Source organism: Homo sapiens, chromosome 11 (genome assembly GCF_000001405.40).
Source record: "Homo sapiens chromosome 11, GRCh38.p14 Primary Assembly".
NCBI lineage: Eukaryota > Metazoa > Chordata > Mammalia > Primates > Hominidae > Homo > Homo sapiens.
In genome coordinates this window covers 119,254,219-119,280,628 of record NC_000011.10, presented here as the reverse complement: position 1 = coordinate 119,280,628, position 26,410 = coordinate 119,254,219, and the positions used below count along the sequence as shown (strand labels likewise).

General features: G+C 39.1%; 1 protein-coding gene across 1 annotated transcript in view, besides 2 other annotated features; it reads right to left on the bottom strand.

The window, feature by feature from the left end:
- CBL (Cbl proto-oncogene) overlaps positions 1-26,410 on the bottom strand; it is a 101,811-nt gene that overhangs the window by 27,521 nt on the left and 47,880 nt on the right. Inside the window, exons 3-9 of the mRNA NM_005188.4 lie at positions 8,748-8,894; positions 6,605-6,761; positions 5,676-5,797; positions 4,495-4,632; positions 2,785-2,872; positions 2,332-2,463; positions 1,916-2,119 (exon numbers count right to left, since the gene is read on the bottom strand). Coding sequence (NP_005179.2) covers positions 1,916-2,119; positions 2,332-2,463; positions 2,785-2,872; positions 4,495-4,632; positions 5,676-5,797; positions 6,605-6,761; positions 8,748-8,894 — 988 coding nt within the window. The remainder of the gene's footprint in view (positions 1-1,915; positions 2,120-2,331; positions 2,464-2,784; positions 2,873-4,494; positions 4,633-5,675; positions 5,798-6,604; positions 6,762-8,747; positions 8,895-26,410) is intronic.
- Positions 16,862-16,911: an enhancer, noted in NCBI's record as "active region_5628". NCBI's record gives its function as "activates an Ori minimal core promoter by ATAC-STARR-seq in GM12878 lymphoblastoid cells {active_cell/tissue: GM12878}" and the evidence as "EXISTENCE:reporter gene assay evidence [ECO:0000049][PMID:35858748]".
- Positions 19,952-20,011: an enhancer, noted in NCBI's record as "active region_5627". NCBI's record gives its function as "activates an Ori minimal core promoter by ATAC-STARR-seq in GM12878 lymphoblastoid cells {active_cell/tissue: GM12878}" and the evidence as "EXISTENCE:reporter gene assay evidence [ECO:0000049][PMID:35858748]".

Here is a 26,410-nt window from a genome sequence, read left to right as displayed (position 1 = left end):
TTTTTAGCAATTCTTTTAAACCTTAAAAAAAATCCATGTGCATTCACCAACTATAAGTAGATTCAGTATATTAAAAAAAATCAAAATAAAACAACAAACAACATCTACCAGGATGTGAAGAAACAGGCATTCTCATTCTTTTCCATACCTTCAAGAGTGATTTCAAGACCAAAAAAGGGGGATAAACTTTAATAACTAACCAAAAGTTAAATATTTTCACTCAAATTATTTTACTCATACAAAATATATAATGAACTATAAAGTACAAGGAATAAAACATCCATATACTTACCTACCATCCAGCTAAAAAACAAAATACCATTATCACTGTGATATTCCCATAAGCCCCTCTGTTAATTATAACCTCCCCTCTATCACAGTTGAAATACACACTCCCTTATGCAGCAATCCCACTGCTAGCCTAGACAGACTTGTAAAAGCAGGCCAATATACGTAAGCCTGCAAACAATATGAATGTTCATTAAAAGGAAGACAAAATAAATTATGGAATGGCCAAATGACAAAATACATGAGGCTGGTTTTTTTTCTGTTTACATTTCTACATGGCTAGGGAAAGTGTGTTCCTTTACTTCTTTCCTCTAAACTCCTATCCGACTTATAGTGTACCCAACAATTTGGAACAATGTTCACTGTCTGCCTTGTGTTGAAGTGTTTCACCTGCACATATGTCCTTTTCCTAAATAAAACAATTAGCTCCTTGAAAGCCTTGTCTTAGACTTCTTATCCCATATAGCACTCAACCATCTAGCACAACAAACACTTTGAAAAAGTAATATGCATTAATTGTAAAAAATTCAAATATTCCACAGAATTTAAGTGCTCTGAATTCCTATCCTCAGAAATAACAGTGATTAGTTTGGTATGTAGTCATCCAGTTTTTCTACGTATATGCTTAAAAAAATTTTTTTACAGAAATAAGTCACACTACACATTGTATACAATTACTATTTATTTATGAGACAGGGTCTCGCTCTGTCACCCAACCTAGAGTGCAGTGGTACAATCACAACTCACTCCCGCCTTGAATTCCTGGGATCAAGCAATCCTCCCGTCTCAGTCTCCAGACTAGTTAGAACTACAGGCGTACACCATCATGCCCAGCTATTTTTTTTTTTAGGGGGGGGCATGGGGGCAGTGGTGGTAAAGATACGGTCTTGCTATGTCGAATTGCTGGGCTCAACTGATCCTCCAGCCTTGGCCTCCAGAGTAGTTAGAACTACAGGTGCACAACACCATACCCAGCTTTTTTTTGTTTTGTTTTGGAGTCAGGGGTAGAGATAGGGTCTCACTATATTGCCAAGGCTGGCCTCAAACTGGGCTCAACTGATCCTCCAGCCTCAACGTCCCAAAGTACTGGGATTATAGGCATGAGCTATGGGCATGCCCAGCCCCAACCTTCTAATGCCAAGACTCCATTAAAATAAAAAAAAAAAAAGGGAACAGAACTTATTCTAGTTGCATTAGCAAAAGAGGGTCCAGTTCTTTTATTTCTCCCTCATATTCTCCACCAACAGATATGAATAAAGTCTTAGTCCTAAAAAATACAGACAGTAAGAACATGGGCCTTAAGCTGGAATGCCTGGTCATAGATGCAGCTCACAGATGCTTCAACCTACTAGCTGTGTGGTCTTCGGCAAATTCCTTAACCTCTTTGTGCCTCAGTTTCTTCATCTGTTAAATAAGGATAATAGTAGTATGTACTCATAGGGCTGTAGTAAAGATTGAGTAAAAAACAAGTAAAGTGCTTAACACAATATCTGTCATATAGTAAATGCTCAATAAATATTAGCTATTAATACTACCTATCATTGTAGTTTGGATATCGTTAAGTGTTTTACGGCTTTAGAAGACAACTCACAATGGATTTTGCCAGTCTCCTAAACTGCCATCTTACCTTGGCACCAGCCAATTCCTTCATCATGAAGAGAGTATCATCAGCTCGTTCATCATCATCATCATCATAATTTGGGGAGGGAGCTCCCTCTGCTCCTTGCCTCAACAGGCTGCCACTCCCTCTAGGATCAAACGGATCTACCACGATGGGTTCAGTACCTTTAATTTCACATCGGCAGAAAGGACAGCCCTGACCTTCTGATTCCTGCAGAAGAAGCAAAAGATAGTAACAGATGCATCTGAAAATACTTAAAATATTAATCTACTAGAAAATACATTTCCTAGAGATCAAAAAAAAGTAAAAGTTTAAACCTAACCCCAAAAGCCAGGCCACCCCTTGTATCAGTAAAGGCTATATAATACCGAATTTTCCAAGGTTATTACATAGCTGAAAAAAGTCGCTGTTTAGATCCGTACCTGCCAGGATGTAAGACAGGATGTGCACATGAGGTGTCCACAGGGCTCAATCTTTACATCCTTATCATTTTCAGCACATATTTTACATAGTTGGAATGTGGAGCCCATCTCACAGTATAATTCATATTGTTCCTTTGATTAAAAAAAATTAAAAGACTATTAGTTGAATAAATAACTGCAATTATAAATGTTAACAGAAAAAGTGAAGACTTGTTTCCTATACAAATTTTGCTTATATAAAAATGTCACAACAGTGGTTTATTTTTTATTAAACCAGAAAGCATCTAGTCTGGGTCCTATTTTAAGCTCCAGGGTTTAAAGTGAAACCACATACACACAAATTCACTAATCTAGTCAATGGGTTCCAATGAATTCAATTATGCTGTCAGTTCTATAAAGAATATACTAAAGCTTGTGTCCAGTGATATGGTTATCATGTGAAACAAAACTCACCTGGGTCACTTTGATATGGTCTTGGGGAGTTGGTTCACATAAGCCAGTCAGATCAGGATTCTGATTTCGTCCATCAGGAAACAAATAGCTGTAAAGAGTAACCAACCCTGGGTTTTATTTAAGCCAATTTGCCAGTGCTTGCTAATATAGACAAATGGAATCTGGGAGTTTCTCCATTCTAAAAGGGCAACGTGGTGTAAGTATAAAGATCAATCTTACTTCAAAAAAAAAATACTTCCAAAAAATAATACTTCAAAAAAATAAAAAACACAGAACAGTTTAAAGATATTCTCCAAAAACTATTATTCCTTCTCCAGGTAACAATGCCATAGGCTCTATCTTTTAATCAAGGGGTTGGTTAGCAAGCTTTTCTGTAAAGGGCCAGATAGAAAATCATTTAGGATTTGTAGGCCACATTAGTCTGTGTCACATATTCTTCTCTGATTGTTTTTTTCAAAACGACTCTTAGGAAAAGCTATCTTGGCTCCCCGGGGGAACAAACAGGTGGCCCATGGGTCACAGTTTACCAACCCATTTTTAATCAATGGATGGCCACCAGATAGAAATTCTTTATGTGTGTGTGTGTGTGTGTGTGTGTGTGTGCGCGACAGATTCTTATTTTTTTTTTGAGGTTGCAGTGAGTGATCTTGGCTCACTGAAACCTCCGCCTCCTGGATTCAAGTGATTCTCCTGCCTCAGCCTCCCAAGTAGCTGGGATTACAGGCACCCACCACCACGTCCGGCTAACTTTTTGTACTTTTAGTACAGACAGGGTTTTGCCATGTTGGCCAGGCTGGTCTTGAACTCCTGACCTCAGGTGATCCACCCGTCTCGGCCTCCCAAAGTGCTGGGATCACAGGTGTGAACCACTGCACCCGGCTTAACTTCTTAGTTTAAACTGCATTTGCTTTTGATCAAAGAAGGTTTACAGGTTTAAGAAAATGAGAGACACCAATTTAAAAGCAATGTAACAATATGCAAATTAAGCTACTGAGATCATCTACCAGGGAGATCCACAGTTTCTAGCATCAAACTGTTCTGACATTTGGGGCAGCACTCCTTTCAGTCCCAATGCTATTGTAAGTAAAAGATAATGTATAATATAAAATGTATTTTCCTAATCACTTCAAAACACAAGCTAGTTTTCTGCCATCTGGTCAACTGTTAGTATTTTTAAGTGTTTACCAACTGATAATTAATTTGAATTCTCAAAGGAATAGCAATTCTGGAATAAATAAGGACTTAGTTATAAATAGCAGCATAGGTTACAGTAGCCCAAGGCCTGAAGAAATGCTGCTGAACAAAAGCGAAGTGAGGATGAAAGCAGATGAAGGCCACTGAGGCCTATGGCTATTAGGAACATTGAATCACTTGAATGCCGACTAGTTAAATAACTGGTCAAATTTCCTGCTAATTGGTATATTTTAAAACCTAACACAGGCTTGAAAATAAGTTAACATTTGGAAAAAAGAAAGATAAAGTTTATTTATGGTAATAACTGAAGTGGTAGAGAATAATTTCACTCATGGAATCCCTAAAAAAGAAAAACAAAAGTCTTCCAGGACCTGAAGGTCAAATCAATATCATCTGTTAATATTTTCCTGAATCTTAGTCTGCAGTTTAAGAAACCTGGAATAAAGTCATTAATGATGAGGTTGGACAGCCCCTAAGTTCCCAGACTCTAACAGATGGTATGCAGTAGGTACTCACAAGCCTTCCCTGAAGCCATCAATCAGTGCTTGGAAGAGAGGTTTATTGTGAGGGATTGTCTGGAGAATGTTCCCATCAGCAGTAACATACCCAATAGCCCACTGACCCAGACGAGTACAGCTCAGCCGGAAGATATAACTATGAACAGACATAAACAGAAGCTTTAGTAGATTATGCTGGTATTACGGTGGAAGGCAAGGCAAGATACAGACAAAAATCAAAAGAACCATCAAGAATAACAATAACTTTCTTCCTTTCTTTCTTTCTTTTTTTAAGATGGAGTCTGGCTCTGTCACCCAGGCTAGAGTGCAGTGGCACAATCTCAGCTCACTGCAGCCTCCACCTCCTGGGTTCAAATGATTCTCCTGCCTCAGCCTCCTGAGTAGCTGGGACTACAGTATGTGCCACCACACCTGGCTAATTTTTGTATTTTTAGTAGAGATGGGGTTTCGCCATGTTGGCCAGGCCAGTCTTAAACTTCTGATCTCAAGTATCTGCCCACCTTGGCCTCCCAAAGTGCTGGGATTACAGGTGTGAGCCACCACACCCAGCCAAGAATAACTACTTCTGAGCTTCAAGTCAGTGACAAGAAAAAAGAAAGAAAATATTTTTAAAAAGAGAGTAACTTCTTCCATGACTCCACACCAGAAGCAAAAGACACATAAACTCTATTCTTTTTTTGTTTTTGTTGTTTTTGAGATGGGGTTTCGCTCTTATTGCCCAGGCTAGAGTGCAATGACATGATCTCGGCTCACTGCAACCTCCACCTCCCAGGTTCAAGTGATTCTCCTGCCTCAGCCTCCTGAGTAGCTGGGATTACAGGCACCCGCACCACACCTGGATAATTTTTGTATTTTTAGTAGAGACAGGGTTTTACCACTTTGGCCAGGCTGGTCTCAAACTCCTGACCTCGTGATCTGCCCGCCTCGGCCTCCCAAAGTGCTGGGATGACAGGCGTGAGCCACTGTGCCCGGCCATAAATTCAATTCTTAAGTGGCCTGAAAACATTTATCAAATTATAGGATCTGAATTAAGTCAATACGTCTGATAAACAGGTATCAATCCTATTGCAGAACCTTGGCTATTGCGAAACTAATTAAGGTCATGTTTCTTCTATACTAGCAGAAGTCTCAAGATAACGAAATTCAGAAGAATAAATCTCTTTGCGTCATTGAACTGACCTGCCAGGTTTGTGAATGAATTTCTGGAGCCGAGCTTTCACTTCGTCATACGTCAAAAAAGCCATGTAGCCAGGATGAGTTACAGCAAGGCTGTTCCAATTCCTGAGCAAAGAGGACCAGGGCTAAAGAAACAAGATCAATCACAGACTATTCAGGTCAGATGTACAACCAACTCAGAGGGCAATGAGAAAAAAAAAAAACAACACCAACTCTCAGTTCATTGTCAGAAATTTTTAATTATACCATCACTCAGAGAGAAGACACATGTGTTCAGGAGATTAAAAACTCTGAAAAGCTACGAAGAAAAGAATATATGCTTATAGGGAGAAACTTGACACAAAATGAAAATTCTAGAATTTGTAAAGCAGCTCTAATTAACAGTAGTGGGGTTGAACAACAACAAACTGAAAACCAGGATAGGGCCTATAGGTGCAACTAATAAGTTCCAAATAAATGTGTATGCAAATTGGCACAGACAACACCAGAGAAAGCATTATTTTTAGAGAAAAAGAAAGGAGTTGTTTTTGAAGCATCTAAACATCTCAATATTAACAGTCAATTTCAATAAAACAGGAGAAACAGTTGCAAACATACACAAATATCCAATATCAGAAAACTAATATATTCATATTCTGGCCATTCTACAAACATTAAAATGATACAAAAGAAGAATATTCAATAACAAGGAAAGATGTGAGGAGAAGAAAGCAGTTGGTATAGCTGTCATTTTCACTATATATACATACACACACATACATATATTTTTAATATGAGATAGTTTTAATCTTTTTTTTGGCATAGTTCCTAAAATGAATTAAAATACTTTCATACAGACAAAAACCCCAAATGTTATTTAAAAAAAAAAAAAAAAAGCTTTCTCTTCACCGAAGTAGCAGTAACCAGTTTAGTCAACTTTTTTAGTGTCCTACCTGAAAGAGTCGGGTAAAGATGTCAAATTCAAAAACCGAAATATAATCATTGCAGGTCAGATCAATAGTGGATTTCAGAGCCATGGCCTCCAGCCCAGAACTGATGGGATGCACTTCATGTAGAGCCTGTCGAAAGCTCTTCCAAGGGACTATTGTCCTGGGGAGGGGGTGGAGAGGAGGCATAAAGTGAAATAACAGAGATAATTCCAGGCATCGCCATAATCAAGGAAAGGAAGGAGAGCCACATTAAGCTCTCAATACCAATTTCAATTCTCGTAATTCAAAATACAGGTCAACTTCTTTAAGAAAAGAAAGAAGGGGACCAGGAGCCATGGTGCATGCCTTTGGGAGGCCCAGCACTTTGAGAGGCCAAAGTGGGCAGACTGCTTGAGCCCAGACTGGGCAATATGGTGAAACTTTGTCTCTACAAAAACAAACAAACAAACAAAATTAGCCAGACTAATTAGTTCCAGCTACTCTGGAGGCTGAGGGGGGAAAATCACTTGAACTTTGGAGGCAGAGGTTGCAAGTGAGATCGTGCCACTGCACTACAGCCTGGGCAACAGAGTGAAACCTTGCTGCAAAACAAGAAAAGAAAAATAAAAAATAATTTACAAATAAAGACCAGGTCTTGTAATGTCATCCAGGGTAGTAGTCTCAAACTTCTGGCCTCAAGAAATCCTCCTGCCTTGGCCACCTAAAGTGCTGGGACTACAGGAGTGAGCCACTGTGCCTGGCCAAAAATGAAGGCCTTTAAAGAGAAACTTGGGCCTAACACAGTGGCTCACGCTTGTAATCCTAGTACTTTGAGAGGCCAGGGGGAAAGATTATTTGAGGCCAGGACTTCGAGACCAGCCTGGGTAACACAGCAAAATCCTGTCTCTGCAAATTAGCTGGGCCTGGCAGCACACACGTGTAGTCCCAGCTACTTGGGAGAACTGCTTGAATCCAAGAGTTTGAGGCTGCGATGAGCTATGATTGATTGTACCACTGCACACCAGACTAGGCAAGAGAGTGACATCCTGTCTCAAAAAAAAAAAAAAATAAAACGACAAAACCTAGGATATTTATATTTATACTTAAAAATACAAGCTTGATGCATAAATCAACCTATATAATATATAGAGAGACAATACAGCAAAACGGAAAAGGTAAGCCACAGACTGGGAGAAGATATTTGTAATGTAAGTATCTAACAAAGAACTAGTAACCTATAATAACAGAAAGATAAACCACTCAATAAGAAAATGGGTAAATCAGAAATAGGAACAGGCAAGTAAGAATAAGAATCTTGACTGGTCATAAAGGTGAGAAGAAGCTCAATCTCCCTTCTCATCAGGGAATATAAAGCAAAATATTACACCAATTCACATCGCCAGCGTTAGCCAAACTGTGGGGCTACTGTAAAATATGAACTGGTACACCATTTTGGAAAGAAATTGGACAATACTTAGCAAAGCAAAAGATGTAAAACCCCAAGACTTAGCAATTCCACTCCTGCGTATGTAAATAAAGACAATTTCTTGCATATGAAGACAACTTAGATATTGCTCACTGCTGATAGCAAATAATGTGAAATGTACATGTCCATTAAGAGCAGAATGGGGCTGGGCATGGTGGCTCACGCCTGTAATCCCAGCACTTTGGGATGCCGAAGCAGGTGGATCACGAGGTCAGAAGTCGAGACCATCCTGGCTGACGTGGTGAAACCCTGTCTCTATTAAAAATGCAAAAAATTAGCCGGGCGTGGTGGCAGGCACCTATAGTCCCAGCGACTCAGGAGGCTGAGGCAGGAGAATGGCATGAACCCAGGAGGCAGAGCTTGCAGTAAGTGGAGATCGCACCACTGCACTCCAGCCTGGGCAACAGAGCAAGACTCCGTCTCAAAAAGAAACCACAATGGATGGGGAGAGAAAGGGAAGAGTATTCAAAGAGCATGGGTTTCAATTTAATCTGCAAAACTATTTTTTAAAAACAATGAACAGAGCAAAAACTTAATATTTAACCAAAGCCAGGAAATACATACACATATATTACTTTTCTCAGAGTTCCCAAATTTTAAATATTTCATTAGTAAAAAAGTAAAGAAAAAACTCGTAAGCTTTAGTTTTTCATAGTTCAAATTCATTATTCTGAGACTTACTTTTCCCCAAAAGCTTTTCTCCAAAATTCCGCAGCATCTGCTTTAGTAATCCGAAATGTGTCTCCCTGAAAGAGTCCACTTGGAAAGATTCCTTTTAGTTCTGCCAGCATGTGGCTGAAGATGAGGGACAGTTTGGTTAGGTTTCGCCTACAAATGATCAGAATGCAATAATTAAACACATAAAATTATTTTTATTTTAAATGCACCAAATTCACCATACAAGATGTATAATTAACATGAATATTAAAATACATTTAGAAAGAACCTCTTCAAATATTCTTTCTGGCCAGTATTATTCAAGGATATAAAAAAGTAGAGAAGAGAAAAGAAATGCGCTGTTGAGGATGTTACATATTCAGTGATCTTGTTCTTTATTTAAAGAAGGGTTTTAGAAACTTTTTGCTGTAAGATCATATGAAAGATACAAACACAATGAAGAAATACTGTTGCATTCACTGCCTCCACTTGTATCTCCTCCATTCAAATAGATATTATGAAGTAAACAAGAGAAAAAATTTAGTCATATATCTTAAAGCTTTTAATCTTGAATTAATAAAGCTTAATAGCTAAGCATGAACATGGACAAATTTACTTTTTTAGGATGACAGGTAAGAGAATTCAACAAATAAGTGTAAGAACTTATGCACTGCTATAATCACTCTATCACGGAAGAAAAAATGTTAGGAAACCAATGTATTATTTCCTGCTTTGCAGGTGTATTTATCAAGTATATTTATCATCATATAACATATCTAAATAAAAGATAAATAAGTCTTAATTAAAAGAATTTTTAAGTATCCAGACCTAATAAATGCTTTCTTTCACTGAACCAGACCTTAAAGAGATAAATTTTACCCAAACTCCTCTTCCTTTACCAAAAATGAGATGCTAACATCCAAACCACACAAAAATTTCTACATAAGTGCATATGCTACTGTTAACAATTACTTAATTTTGTTCTCACAACCTGTTTAATGGATATGGTTATAAAGATATCACACAGGCCGAGAGTGGTGCCTCACGCCTGTAATCCCAGCACTATAGGACGCCAAAGTGGGCGATCACTTGCAGTCAGGAGTTCAAGACCAGCCTGGCCAACGTGGCGAAACCCTGTCTCTACTAAAAAATATAAAAATGGCCGGGCGCGGTGGCTCACGCCTGTAATCCCAGCACTTTGGGAGGCCGAGGCGGGCGGATCACGAGGTCAGGAGATCGAGACCATCCCGGCTAAAACGGTGAAACCCCGTCTCTACTAAAAATACAAAAAATTAGCCGGGCGTAGTGGCGGGCGCCTGTAGTCCCAGCTACTTGGGAGGCTGAGGCAGGAGAATGGCGTGAACCCGGGAGGCGGAGCTTGCAGTGAGCCGAGATCCCGCCACTGCACTCCAGCCTGGGCGACAGAGCGAGACTCCGTCTCAAAAAAAAAAAAAAAAAAAAAAAAAAAATATATATATATATATATATAAAAATTAGCTGACCATGGTGGTGTGCGCCTGTAACCTCAGCTACTTGGGAGAGCTGAGGCAGGAGAATCCCTTGAACCCAGGAGGCAGAGGTTGCAGTGAGCTGAGTTTGTGTCACTGCACTCCAGCCTGGGCAACAGAGCGAAACTCCACCTCAAAAAAAAAAAAAAAAAAAAAGATGTCACACAGTACCATTTAACATACCAGATGTAGTCTCTACTTTTCCATGTGTCCTTTGATCAGATTACCTTTGTTCTCTTTAATGCTATTGCCACAGAAACAGGATACAGATGATATAGATACTATTACACTAAACAAGCTACTGAATACGTGTCTATTTTCCTTTGACCCAATAATTTGTATTTATGTATTCAAAAGTTTATTCTTGTCATATAAATGTACTTTATTTATTTATTTATTTTGAGACGGAGTCTCGCTCTGTCGCCTGGGCTGGAGTGCAGTGGCGCGATCTCGGCTCACTGCAAGCTCCGCCTCCCGGGTTCACGCCATTCTCCTGCCTCTGCCTCCCGAGTAGCTGGGACTACAGGCGCCCGCCACCATGCCCAGCTAATTTTTTTGTTATTTTTAGCAGAGATGGGGTTTCACCGTGTTAGCCAGGATGGTCTTGATCTCCTGACCTCGTGATCTGCCTGCCTCGGCCTCCCAAAGTGCTGGGATTACAAGCGTGAGCCACCGCGCCCGGCATAAATGTACTATAAAATTTCAAGTCAAATCGTGATCAATTACTGACTGCCTAACAATCCTCTATTAGGAACAGATTTTTCTTTTTTAATGCTATACTGGAAGGTCACCATCAGTGCTATCTTTGTCTTTCGTGGATAAAATGCAGCACCAAATTATCCAAGTCTTTATATCCATGACTTGTTCGAAAAATGCTATTGAAATCTTTTTTTGGCCGGGTGCGGTGGTTCACGCCTGTAATCCCAAAATTTTCGGAGGTCGAGGCGGATGCATCACTTGAGGTCAGGAGTTTGAGACTAGCCTGGCCATTTCTACTAAAAATACAAAAATTAGGCGGGCATGGTGGTACATGCCTTTAATCCCAGCTACTGAAGAGGCTGAGGCAGAGGTTGCAGTGAGCTGAGATTGCACCACTGCACTCCAGCCTGGACGACAGAGTGAGACTCGGTCCAAAAAAAAAAAAAAAAAAAGCACTTATCCAATCTTTAAAGTCCATTAACTGTTTTTTTCCTAGCACCTTGAGATCCTTTGATTATTGTTTAATAGAATTTCTACCATGTACCAAAGAGAAAATAGACAAGATCAAGAATATATCACAAATGGAATATGAAATAGGTAACGTGAAAGAAACCCTACAAAGCACAAGTTAATCCCAATGTATTTACTTTCCAGTGTTCCGCAGGACCCTAGACTGCACAATCAGCAGCCTGTGGCTCAGACATCTACATCTACATAACATTCTGTCAAGTAGTAGTCCCTAAACTAGATTATTGAGAACCTACTATGTGTGTGAAGAACTACGCTGAACAGTATAGCAGGATAATGAATGAGATGATAGAAAAAATCCGTGTCACACTTCTGAGGTTATACCAGAGCTCTTTCTGAAGCAAACAGGTTTGAATTCTACTTCTTCCTGAACACGATCTTGCCTTGGGTTTTGCAGTGTTGTCTTCTCTTGGTTCTCCTACTTCCTTTTGTTCTTTCTTGGCTTTTCTCCCCCATCGTCTTAAGCGGTATTTCCCAAGAATCTGCTCTCTGCTATTTTCAGTTCTTTCTCCGTGTACTCTCTCCTGTTCCTTTGCAATCTCAGGGCTTTAAAAACTACTTAGCAAACAATGCCCAAATCTTAGGCCTTGGTAGTTTTTCCAACTATCTACTCTACCACATTTCCTCCACTCGAATGCTAGCACCTCAAAGCAACATGTTCAGAATTAAACTAATCTTTCTTAAATCTGCTCTTTCTTCATGTACTTTACTTCTGTATTTAATGACAACACCATCTTACTTCCCACAAGTTCAAAACCTGAAGAATCTTCTTAGCTTCTTTCATTTACCTTGTTCTCCATATCTGACTAGTCAATTTGTTGCCAATCTGTGGTCATTCCTACCTTCTATTTATGTGGTATTGGCCTAATGCAAACTCCTTGGTGATAATTAAAATTAAAATTAAAATTAAAATTCCAGCCTTGGTCTTCAGTGTCTCTTTCTATGCAGATCCAATTCTTATGACATTTAACTGCCTTTTGAAGAAGGGAAAAAATAAACAATCAATTTTCACAGCCAATGGGATAAAATCCAAACTCAGCTTGGATTTTAAGGCTTTCCATTGACCTGGATCTAACCTATCTTTCTAACTAACTTCTTAGTTCTTCACTAGTATGTTCTAGCCAAACCAAGTACTTCACCTTTTCTTACACCTGCCTCTCTTCTTTGTTTCTCGGCCTTTGCCTGTTTCTCTGGTCTGAAATAAGACCCAGTTTAAATGTCATTTCTTTAGGAGCCAGCTAGACATAATAAAATGCTCAACAATCCCAGTGTTTTCTCTGCAGTTCTCTTACATCATCTGAACCCATTTTGACTATAGCTATTTGTGTACACAATGGCTAAATCTATTTCTGACTTGTATTTATATCCCTCTGGGCCAAGCGAACGGCAAAAATTTCTAATGATCAATATACCTTCAGAAAACATTTGAGTGCCTACTATGTGCTAGGCTCGGGGTGAATATGGCAATGAACAAAATAAAATTCTTGCTTTTATGACATGTACATTCCCACGAGAGTGTTATCAGATGGTAGGAGAAAAGTGCTGTGAGGAAGAATAACACAGAGTATGAGAAGCCATGCAGGATTGCTGTTTAGGGAGGGTAGTCTCAGAGACCTTATCGAGTGTTGCTTTTTAAGCTGAGTCTGAAGTGAATACAGGGAGTGGGTCTTGGAATAACTGGACCATGCTGGTTATCTTTGGCTCTTAAAATAATTTTCTACCGAAAATCTACCAGGTACCTAGCACTATGTTGGATCAAAGATAAAATATGCATACCAAAATAACAGGACACAGAAAGCATTTTTATTTTGTGAAGTAAGCCACACAAACAAAAAGTTATTGACCACAAAGATGTAATGGCACCAGGTACCTAAGAGCAGTTCAAAGTGCTGACTGAAACTGTTACGGGAAATCAATTTAAGACATTTTCCTACTCCAGAATGCATCCCTCCAAAAAGCCTGCTTACATTTCTTAAAACCACCAGAGATATCCACTGTAAGCATCATACTTCTTAAAAGGAAATAATGAATTTACAAAAGTCCATGGGTCAGAGCATTTTGTAACCAATCTGAAGCTTATGGTTCAGTGTCTACAGTATATGGGGCAGAATTTAATCAGCAGAATCTGTCTTAACATGTAAAAAGAATGAGGTATGATACAGACATTTGAGTTTACATGGTAAGCAATACTTGAAAAAATTCTGTCAGCAGTTACCTTAACTCACACAGTGAGTTCTAACGATTCTCCAAAGATCCACAAAGGAACACAACTGTTCAACTTTTTGTAAATACCCTGAAGACAGAACTTTCCTTCCTTCAGTTCCAGCAGCAGCGAGCAGTACTGGCTTTTCTCTAACCCAGTAACACAGTGCTGAGGAAGGAGGTCATTCGCCTTCCACTCTAACCTTCGCCTTCAGCTCTAACCATCCAAATCTACGGAACTACAAATTCTACTCTACAGCTTCCGTCTTCCTCTTCTCTTTTCCTCTCACAGCTTACTCATAATCAAATGCTGATTCTGTATGCAGTATCTTTTTTTTTTAATTCAAGACTGGTGTCATTTCTTTTCTCTCTACCTCAGGGCCTACCTTCAAAGCCAACGTACCTTTGTGCCTCAGGCCCAAAGCAATGTTATGCATTTTCCTGTGTACAACTTCACATAATAAAGAACTAAGATTTACATATCACCAATACACAAGTATCTTAAAAATTAAATGAGCAACTATAGCTATTGTTTTAGCTTCAAAAGTAAAAATATAAATACAACTTCATAGGAATCACAATCACCATCTTAAGCAAGACAGGAGGTGAAAAGTGGCCTTTATATGAATGATGAGGTAAACAGAAAAATCTCTGAAACTATTTTGACCAGTACAGTCACTACTATATAGAATACTGAAAAAGTTATCTTGTAACTCTTGCTCATAAGGTACTTTGAAGAGAAAGAGGAAACAGGAAACCAAATACAGTATGAGGAGATAAATTAACTCCTTCTATTAAAGACGCATTTATTAACATTTAAGACAAGGAAACTGCAGCCTCGACCTCCCAGACTCAAGCGATCCTCTCACCTCAGCCTCCTGAATAGCTGGACCAGAGGCCACTATGCCTGGCTAATTTTTCTTTCTTTCTTTCTTTTTTTTTTTTTTTTTGAGATGGAGTCTCGCTCTGTCGCCCAGGCTGGTATGCAGTGTCACGTCTTGGCTCACTGCACCCTCTCTCCCGGGTTCAAGCAATTCTCCTGTCTCAGCCTCCCAAGTAGCTGGGACTACAGGCACACACCACCACGCCCGGTTAATTTTATATTTTTAGTAGAGACGGAGTTTCTCCATGTTGGTCAGGCTGGTCTCGAACTTCCAACCTTAGGTGATCCACCCGCCTGGACCTCCCAAAGTGTTGGGATTACAGGCGTGAGCCACTGCGCCCGGCCTAATTTTTGTATTTTTAGTAGAGACAGGGTTTCACCATATTGGTCAGGCTGGTCTCGAACTCCTGATCTCAGGTGATCCACCCACCTTGGGCTTCCCAAAGTGCTGGGATTACAGGTGTGAGCTACCGCGCCCAGCCACTTTTTCTATTTTATGTGTGATGGGGGTCTCACTATATTGCCCAGGCTGGTCTCCAACTCCTGGGCTCCTCACACCTTAGCAGAAATAATTTTTTAACGTATATTTTCTGTCTGCAGATAATTTAAATGAATTTATGTCTTAGGGAATTTAAATGAACAGTTAACTGTATAAACCCTATACAGGGCTAGAAAAAGTAATCTACTAAACTAGTATTATCTATTCTAAAACAGATTTGCCAAACCTCAGACTATTAGAATTATTTTACTTGAATATTATTGTTCTGAAGAATTAACACAGAAATATCAAAAATCATCTCACCTACTTCAAAAGTCTCTTAAAAATGGTTTAAAGACTCAAAAAAGTTTATATGGTATTTAAAAAGAGAAGGAAACAAAACTTTCATTTTAAAAACAGTAATTTAGGCTGGGCGCAGCAGCTCACACTTGTAATCCTAGCTCTTTGAGAGGCTGAGGCCGGCAGATTGCTTGAACTCAGGAATTTGAGACCAGCCTGGGCAATATAGTGAGACCCCCCATCTATACAAAAAATGCAAAAAAATTAGCCAGGTATGGTGGTGCACAGCTGTAGTCCCAGCTACTAGGGTTGCTGAGGTGGGATGATAGCTTGAACCTGGCAAGTGGAGGTTGCAGTGAGCAAAGATCGTACCACGGCACTCCAGCCTAGGCGACGAAGCAAAACTGTCTTAAAAAAATAATAATAATGAAAAACAAAGAAAAGTAATTTAGCTAATTGCAGATTGGTATATGGTGGTTATAAAATTCTTTCAACTCTTCTGTAGGACCGAAAAATTTCCTTATAGGTTGGGCATGGTGCCTTATGCCTGTAATCCCAGCACTTACGGGAGGCCAAGACAGGCAGATCACTTGAGCTCACAAGTTCGAGACCAGCCTGGGCAACATGGTGAAAGTCCGTCTCTACAAAAAAAACAAAAATCAGCTGGGCATGGTGGCATGGACCTCTAGTCTCAGCTACTAGGGATGCTGAGGTGGGAGGATGGCTTGAGCCCTGGAGGTGGAGGTACAGTCAGCAGAGATCATGCCGCTGCATTCCAGCCTGGGCAAACAGAGACAGACCCTGTCTCAAAAAAAGAAAAGAAAAGAAAAGAGAAAAGAAGAAAAGAGAAGAGAAGAGAAGAGAAAGAAGAGAAGAGAAGAGAAGAGAAGAGAAGAGAAGAGAAGAGAAGAGAAGAGAAAAGAAAAGAAAGATCATAATAAAAGACTGGAGGTCAGGCATAGGGACTCACACCTGTAATCCCAGCTCTTTGGGAGGCCAAGATGGGAGGATGGCTGAAGGCCAGGAGTTTCGTACCAGCCTGGGCAACATAGCAAGACTGTCTCTAAAAACAAACCAAAAAATCCACTGAAGAAAACCCCCAATAATTTACAGGTAAGTGTATTTTAACAATATTTGTAAATCAAATGATCCTATCGTTCTCAAGAGGAAAATTCCAAGATGATTTAATACTTTTAATACAATGATTAACAAAAAAGCTGTAAAACATTATACAATACGATTACAGGGTTGCAAAATATTCCCAAAATAAGGTTACAATTTTTTGCCATTCAGTGATGGTATAGGCTTAAGACTCATATAGATGATGATAATTATACTGCTGAAGGGTAACATGATCACTGCTTTTAAGTATTTCATTTACTGGTACTATTTCAGTGATAACTGCTGCTTTTCCTATCAGATAAACTCCAGAAACCTTATATCCAAACACTAGTGTCATCTAAAGAATGCTGAGTGAGAACATACTGAGATGACATTTATAACTCAATAGCAGCATCCTCTGCTCACAGTAATCAGCTTTAAAAATAGATACAACGGAACTGTTTTCCACAAAGCCTCACAGGAAGTCAATGAAGTACTGTTTAACTCTTATCATCGACTTAAGCTGTTAAAAAACAAAACAAAACAAAACAAAACAAAACGAAAACCATCACCTACAAAAGGAGTTCTCAGCCAATACATCTAAAAATAGCAATGGCCCTTTTTACTAAACACATATTAAGTGTATTTGATACTACATACTCATGGTCCTGCTTTTGAAATTCCCAAGTTACACAGTAACAGATTCCTACTAATCATCCAGAGCATTTCAAGCTAACTGTTTCACTGAATTCTAAAGCTAAAGGGGACACATCTAACTCACCAAGTAAATGGGAAGGCAGCAACCCACATGAGAGCCTCCAACACTCCCCTCATATTTCTATCAAATTAATCCTAAAACAGACTCAATCTCCTTACTCCCCCTACATGAAAATCTTTAATGACTTCTCAATTACCACTTAAAAAGTTCAAACTGCTGACCTGATACATGAAAGCACTCACAATGTAGTCCTAATTCACCTTTCTAATACCAGTCAATGTTCCACCAAACACTCTATCTACGCTTTCCAGGCTCTGTGCCTGTGGTATTGGTACTGCATCAACAATATATGCTTCTCTCCATCTCTAGCAGTTAACACTAAGAGTTTACTAGGGATTAGATGCTTTACTAAGCTAAATAAAGTGCATTTAATTCTCATAATGCTTTGAAATAGGAATTACTAACCGTATCTTACAAATGAGAAACAAAGACTTAGTGACATTAAATAATTTGCAAGGTCACAAAGCTAGTAAGGGGCAGCATAGGTCTATGAAATTCAAGAGCCAGGGCTCTTTGGTTATGACACATTTCCTTTCCAATGACTACGGTTACTAAATCCTGCCCATTCTTCAAAGTTCTCAAACACTGCCTCCTTGGGGAGGACTCTCCAGTCTATATTTAACGTCTACTCTCAGCTTCTGAACCCCCTACAGCAACTTGCTCATAGTTTTTCACAGGTTCCATCACGTTCTGCTTCATATTAATTGTCTTATTCCCCAATCTGGAAGACAACTCCTTAAGGGCAGAGGCAGGGAAAGTATCTCTTACACACTTTATCCCCTGCAACCCTGGTCACACTGGGCACATAACAGGCATTCAATACATTTGTAGAACTGAACTGGAAAATATTACCTACTTTTGACAAATTTTTAATTTCAGAATAATTCTACATCTACAGAAAAGTTATAAAGACCACGCAGGGAGTTCCCATAAAACCCAAATCCAGTTTCAGTTTCCCCTAATGTTACCATCTTATATTACTGTGGGACATTCTTCAAAACTAAGAAACCAACATCAGTATGGTAGTACTAACTGAATCCCAGGCTATATCCAGGCTTCACCAGTTTTTTCCACTAATGTTTTTATCTATTCCAGGATCCAATCAAGGATACCACTTTACATTTACTCACCCTATCTCCTTAGTCTCCTCTGGTCTGTAATCATTTCTTAGTCTTTCCTTGTTTTTCATGACAGTTCTGAGCGCTGTTCAAGTATTTTAAAGGATGTCTCTCAGTGTGTCTGTCTGTCTTTCTGATATTTTGACTGGAGTTACGAGTTTATGGAAAGAATAACAGAGGTGAAGTGCCCTTCTCAACACATCAAGTCATAATATCTACATGGTATCACTGAAAATGTTCAACTCGATCACTTAGTGTTTGCATGCCATGATTCTGCAGGTGAAGCTATTAGTGAAAAATATTTACTTCTCCACACCTTCTTTCTTATATCTTTTTTAAAAAAATCACTTATACAAGAGTCAATAATATTTTTAAATGACTCTAATACATTCTCATTAAAGCACAAATATTTTACATTAGTATCTTTAGTTTTCAGTGTGGTTAGAAAAAAACAAAAATGGTTCAAAACAATCATTGTGAACATTTAGCAAGTGTTCACTAGCTATGTTACTTCACGGTCCTGTTTAATCAGATTTCTCTGTATTTCAAAATAACTTTTGAGTTCACTTAACCCGAGCTCTGAAAGACAACTTTAATAAGTAGAATTACATGCACTGGAGCATTTGCCCACAATTGAAAGCATATTAACCCTCAGTACTGGTTACTACTTCTCTACACCAGTTCCTTAAAGACATATACAAACATATCAGTAAGATAATGCTGAAATCTTTAAAACTTCTCATACCCTCTCCCTCAACAAATGACAACCACCACCAAGCACCTTTTAGAAAGCTAATGCAATCAACTTAAAATATACAGATACAAATTATACTGAGACAGCACTAATAGAATCTAATCAAATATGTAGAAAGTCTATATCTAGTTACCATTAATTATTTAACTCCTGAGTATGTAACTTAGACATCGATTTCCATTTAAACATAGCATTTCCCTGAACAAATAAACAGAGTAGCTAATACTAAGCTTTGCAAAACTTGAGAAAGAACATGGAATGTTCTCTGTCCGAATATAAGACTATTAAAAGGGACAAAAACTAGAGAAATCTTCAATAAATGTTCCATGGAAAAGAATCTAGAGGCCAGGCGCGGTGGCTCACGCCTGTAATCCTAGCACTTTGGGAGGCCAAGGCAGACGGCTCACCTGAGGTCAGGAGTTCGAGACCAGCCTGGCCAACATGGCAAAACCCCATCTCTACTAAAAATACAAAAAATTAGCCAGGCGTGGTGGCGCACACCTGTAATCCCAGCTACTCGGATAGCTGAGGCATCAGAATCGCTTGAACCTGGGAAGCAGAGGTTGTAGTGTCCAGCCTGGAGACTTTGCCTCCATTAAAAAAAAAAAAAAAAAAAAGTAGAGATTTAACTGCCAAAGTGAAAGAAAATACAAATGCAGTGCAGTGGGGAGTCATTAAGGATCTGGGACTGGGGAGTGATATCTGATCATTTTAAGACCGAAAATGATAGCAATGTAGAAGGTGAATGAAAGAAGAAACTGCGAAAGCAGAGAGATCAATCAGCATAGTAGTGCAGTAGAAAAGTAATGGGAGCCTGAGATAGAAAAGTAACAGGGGCAGTAAAATAAAGACAGATTTGAGACAGACTGCAGCAGTAAAATCAAGAGTATGACTGAGTAAGAGAGGAGATAAACCTAGGGTATTACCAATAATATATTGGTAATAATGTAAAAGCTAATGTTTTTTAAGGGCTTACTAAGTACCAGGCACTTTACGTATTTTGTTATTTAACTAATTCTCACTTACAATCCCATCAGATTCCAATATTATCCCCATTTTACAGATGAGACAATTTAGGCATAAAGAAGCTGAGCCGACCAGCCTGGTCAACATGGTAAAACCCCATCTCTACTAAAAATACAAAAATTAGCCAGGCGTGATGGCACGTGCCTGTAGTCGCAGCTACTCGGGAGGCTGAGGCAGGAGAATTGATTGAACCCAGGAGGTGGAGGTTGCAGTGAGCCGAGATTGCACCACTAAATCCAGTCTGAACGACAGAGTGACACTCCATCTCAAAAAAAAAGAAAAGAAAAGAAAAAGAAAAAAAAAAAAAGAAGCTAAGCCAATAATCAATCCATGCTCATCATCACTACTCACTACATTATACAGTACTAACTCAGTAACGGGACATGAAAGAGGAAGTTGGTTTGCTGATGAAGAGGATACATTCAGTGTTCAGGTATTTTGAGTGTGGGAAGATACTAACATGAGTATAACTAGCAGGTAGCTTGGGAAAACAGATTTGTGAATAATCTGTGTAAGATTGTTGGCATCTCTGGGAATGGAACGGTCCATTTGCTAGTGCCCTTGTACAAGATAATCAAGCTGAAACTGAGTTTCCCCCTTTGAGAAGAGTGTGGAGGTAAGTGAGATAGAATCGGAAGGATACAAAAGAACAATATTACAGGTTTCTCCTACAAAAGGCAGAATAAATCCATGTGACAGGTATTTGGAAATACAATCCATGTCCCAAATGAGCTATATTTATAAGAAAACGATGCCAATTTTTTAGTTGTTCTCACCTAAGGCAGAAACTAATGCCATCTCTTTGAGACCCAATCTTTGTTTCTCAGTATCTTTTATATAAGCTTGATGAAAACACATTTAGTATCTTAGCACCTCAAAAATTATCAATTTTGGGGAGTTCTAACACCCATCCAGTGGTATCTATCATAATTCTCCCACCAGAAATATTTATATTTATATGGAACTTGAACATTAGAGCCCCTATGCAAAAGTAAATAGTATTTACTGTGTTTACTAAATTCACATAAATTTAGTAAATACTGTTTACTTTTGCATAGTGGCTCTAATATATAAGTAAATACACAAAATTTCAGTATTGTCAAATAAGCAGAGGTATATTCAATAAATGGGGAAAAACATAAGAATAAACAATACATGGGAGAAAAAAATCACAAATGTATCTTAAGCAGAATACAAGAAACTTAAAGCCACATAAGACTACCAACTTACCCAGGCACAGCAATTAGGCAAGAGAAAGAAAGGGCACCCAAATTGGAAGAGGAAGTCAAGCTATCTCTGTTTTGCCAATAATATCATCACATACCTAAAAAAAACCCCGAAGACTCCTCCAAAAGACAACTAGATTTGATAAGTGAATTCAGTTAAGTCTCAGGTTACGAAATCAACGTATACAAGTCAGCAGCACTGCTACACATCAACAATGACCAACCTGAGAATCAAATCAAGAACTCAATCCCTTTTACAATAGCTGAAAGAAAACAACACATAAAAACCTAGGAATATATTTAACCAAGGAGATGAAAGATCTCTACAAGGAGAATGACAAAACACTGCTGAAAGAAATCACAGAATACACAAACAAATGGAAACACATCTCGTGCTCAGGGACTGGAAGAATCAGTATCGTGAAAATGACCATACTGCCCAAAGCAATCGATAGATTCAATGCAATTCTTAACAAAATACCCACATCATTTTTTAAAGAATTAAAAGCAACAATCCTAAAATTCATACGGAACCAAAAAAGAGCCTGAAAAGCCAAAGCAATCCTAAACAGAAATAACAAATCTAAAGGCATGACATTACCCAACATCAAATTATACTATTAAGGCTATAGTAACCAAAACAGTATGGTACAGGTATAAAGAAAGATACATAGATCAATTGAATGGTTTGGATCTGTCCCCACCTAAATCTCATGTTGAAATGTAATCCCCCAGTGCTGGAGATGGCGCCTGGTGGGAGGTGACTGGATCATGAGGGCAGAGTTCTCATGAATGGTTTAGCACTATCCCCTCTTGGTACTATACAGTGATAGAGTTCTCAGGAGATCTGGTCCTTTGAAAGTGTGTAGCACCTCCTCCCTCATTCTTCCTCCTGCTCGGGCCATGGTGCCTGCTCTGCCTTCACCTTCCACCATGACTGTCAGTTTCCTGAGGCGTCCCCAGAAGCAGAAGCCACTATGCTTCCTGTACTGCCTGTAGAACCATGAGCCACTTAAATCTCTTTCTTTAAAAATTACAGTCTCAAGTCTTTTTGTTTTTTGTTTTGTTTTGTTTTTTTGAGACGTAGTCTCACTTGTCGCCCAGGCTGGAGTGCAATGGTGCAATCTCGGCTCACTGCAACCTCCGCCTCCCAGGTTCAAGCGATTCTCCTGCCTCAGCCTCCCGAGTAGCTGGGATTACAAGCGTGCACAACCACACCTGGCTAATTTTTCATATTTTTGGTAGACAGGGGGTTTCACCATTTTGGCCAGGGTGGTCTCGAACTCCTGACCTCAAGTGACCCGCCTGCCTCAGCCTCCAAAAGTGCTGAGATTACAGGCATGAGCCACAGCACCCGGCCACAAGTATTTTTTTATGGCAGTACAAGAATGGACTAATACACCAATGGAACAGAATAGAGAAACCAGAAATAAAGCCAAATACTTAAAACCAACTGATCTTTGACAAAGCATACAAAAACATGAATTAGGGAAAGGACACACCCTATTTAATAAATGGTGCTGGGAAAACTGCATAGCCACATGTAGAAGAATGAAAATGAATCCCTATCTTTCACCACATAGAAAAATCAACTCAAGATGTATTAAAGACTTAAATCTAAGACCTGAAACCACAAAAATTCTAGAAGAAAACCTAGGAAAAACTCTTCTGGACATTGACCTAGGCAAAGAATTTATAACTAAAACCCCAAAAGCAAATGCAACAAAAACAAAAATAAATGGAACCCACAGAATGGGAGAAAATACATGCAAGCAATGCATCCAACAAAGGTCTAATATCCAGAATCTATGAGGAACTCAAATCAGCAAGGAAAACAACAACAACAAATAATCCCATCAAAAAGTGGGCAAACAACATAAATAGGCATTTCTCTAAAGAAGATATACAAGTGGCCACAAACAAATGAAAAAATAATCAACGTCACTAATCATCATGGAAATACAAATTAAAACCACAATGAGATACCACCTTACCCCAGCCAGAGTGGCCATTATTTAAAAAATCAAAAGAACAATAGATGCTGATGTGTACATAGTGAAAGGGAATGCTTCATTTAGTTATTTGTTCATTTGAATAGGGAATGCTTATACACTGCTGGTGGTGAAGTAAATTAGCACAACCTCTGTGGAAAATAGTATGAAGATTTCTCAAAGAACTAAATGTAGGTCTGCCAATTCAATCCAGCAAGCCCACCACTGGGTATCTACCTAAAGGAAAATAAGTCACTGTATGAAAAGGACCTGCACGTATATGTTAATCACAGCACAATGCACAACTGTAAGATATGGAACCAACCTAAGTGCCTGCCAACCAATGAGTGGATAAAGAAAATGTGATACATTAATATATACACCATGGAATACTGCTCAGCCATAGAAAAAAATGAAATAATGTCTTTTCCAGCAACTTGGACGGAGCTGGAGGCCATTATTCTAAGTGAAGTAACTCAGGAATGGAAAACAAAATATCACAGGTTCTCATTTATAAGTAGGAGCTAAGCTCTGGGTACATAAAGGCATACAGATTGGTATAATGGACTTTAGAGACTCAGAAGCGGGGAGGTGGGAGGGCAGGGAGGGATTAAAAAAAAAAAAAAACAAACTACATACTGGGTACAATGTACACTACTCGGGTAATGGGTGCACCAAAATCTCAGACTTCACTATATAATTCATTCATATAATCAAAACCCACCTGTATCCCTAAAGTTACTGAAATTTTTAAAAAGAAAAATCTAAAAAAAAGAGCATCAACTTAAATCTATCATGATAAATCAGTAAAAATCTTCAAAATGTACAAATATGGTCAGGCATGGTGGCTCACACCTATAATCCCAGCACTCTGGGAGTCCAAGGTGGGTGGATCACCTGAGGTCAGGAGTTCAAGACTAGCCTGGCCAACATGATGAAACTCTATCTCTACTGAGAAAAACAAAAATTAGCTGGGCGTAGCGGCGGATGCCTGTAATCCCAGCTACTCGGGAGGCTGGGATTACTCCCAGGAGGCGGAGGTTGCAGTGAGTCGAGATCGCACCACTGCACTCCAACCTGGGCGACAGAGCGAGACTCCATCTTTAAAAAAAAAAAAAAAAGAATGTACAAATACTATCAAGTAGAATGGAGGCTTAACATATAGACGTTACTGCAACAACAAAATGCAATGGATTCTATTTCAATAACGTTCATTAATTTATTCACTCCATAAATACTGAATGCCTACTAGATGGCAGGCATTATTTTTAAATGTATCGGCCAGGTGCAGTGGCTCATGCCTGTAATCCCAGCACTGTGCAAGGCCAAGGCAGGAGGACTGCTTGAGACCAGGAGTTCAAGACCAGCCTGGGCAACACAGTAAAACCCTGCCTCTACTTTTTTTTTTTTTAAAGTATAAATTAAGGGGAAATGGGCCATTTTAAACCCTGAATAAAACAATAACCATTAAATAGAATAGGTATCAAAATCCATTCTCCATCATTCATATATAGACATACATTCATTTGTGCATAAGCACAAACATTAAGCTGTGATATATTATAGAATTTTGCTAAATGTACCCTGCAAAAGCAAACTCTTTTACAAACTGTTCACAAATACAGGAAGATAAATAACTCATTTTGATTACTTCCGTAATGAGACAAAGACCATGAAAAAATTTATATGTACTAGCTTGACTTACCAATATAGATGGAAAAAGTCCTAAATGATTACTAGAATCCAGAGAAATAGTAAAATATGTATTTTTATATAATTATAAATATATAATTACAGACTAGAATTTATGCAAGGATGGTTTAACTTTGCAAATTTATGAACAATTCACTGCAGTAACATAATACAGGGAAAAAACATATAATCATCTCACAGTGCCAACAGCTTTTTATCTCCATCTTAGTCGAGTTGTTACCTTAGTCCAAGCCATCATGATCTCACCTGGATTACCAAATTTGGCCAACTGATCTTTTTGTTCTTTCTGGATTGCTTAGCAAAGAGCTAATGAGGATCTGGGGCTCCTGGCTCCTCCCTCCCTCTGGCCAGGAGTTTCTCCAAAGCACCTTCCCGAAGCTCCACACAGTCTCTAGGTACCAGGGCACTAGTTGTCAGCAACTCCTGTAAAGTCAGTACCCAAACTCACGCTTTTTAACTTCACTTATCACGCTCAATCCCATAAAGAAGGTTAGGGGAAGGCAGGCAGAATTCTTTCATGGAGCCCAGTCTCATGGTACATCCACCTATGCCCCAATCCAAGCACGCCACTCCACAGGACACCAAGAGAATAGGAGAACTGTGTACCTGCTCCTACTTCTACCCATGAATTCCAGTCTAAATGATGTCACTGATGCTCACCATGAATCTACTGAGAACAAGTTCTCAAAAAATACTCGCAGCCAGACGTGGTGGCTCACACCTGTAATCCCAGCACTTTGGGAGGCTGAGGTGGGAGGATCACCTGAGGTCAGGAGTTTCAGACCAGCCTGGCCAACATGGCAAAACCCCGTCTCTACTAAAAATACAAAAATTAGCTGGGCGTGGTGGTGCACACCTGTAATCCCAGCTACTCAGGAGTCTGAGGCAGGAGAATTGCTTGAACCTGGGAGGCGGAGGCTGCCGTGAGCCAAGATGGCACCACTGCATTCCAGCCTGGGCGACAGGACGAGACTCTGTCTCAAAAAAAAAAAAGATAAAAAAAGATTATAATACCACATTTTTACTGCACCTTTTCTATGTTTACATGTTAAAATACATACTTACCATTGTGTTACAACTGTCTACAGTACTCAGTACAGTAACATGCTGTACAGGTTGGTAGCCTATGAGCAATAAGCTCTACCGTATAGCCTAGGTGTGTGGGCGGCTGTATCATCTAGGTTTCTGTAAGTACACTCTATGACGTTCACACAACAACTAAATCAGGCAGCAATACATTTCTCAAAATGCATCCTGTCGTTAGCAATACATGGTTGCACTTACATAAAAGAAAATTTCAATGGACTTTAAATTGTGACATTTCTTTTTTAAATATTGTGGTAAAATATACTTACCAAAATTTACTATTTTAAGCATTTTTA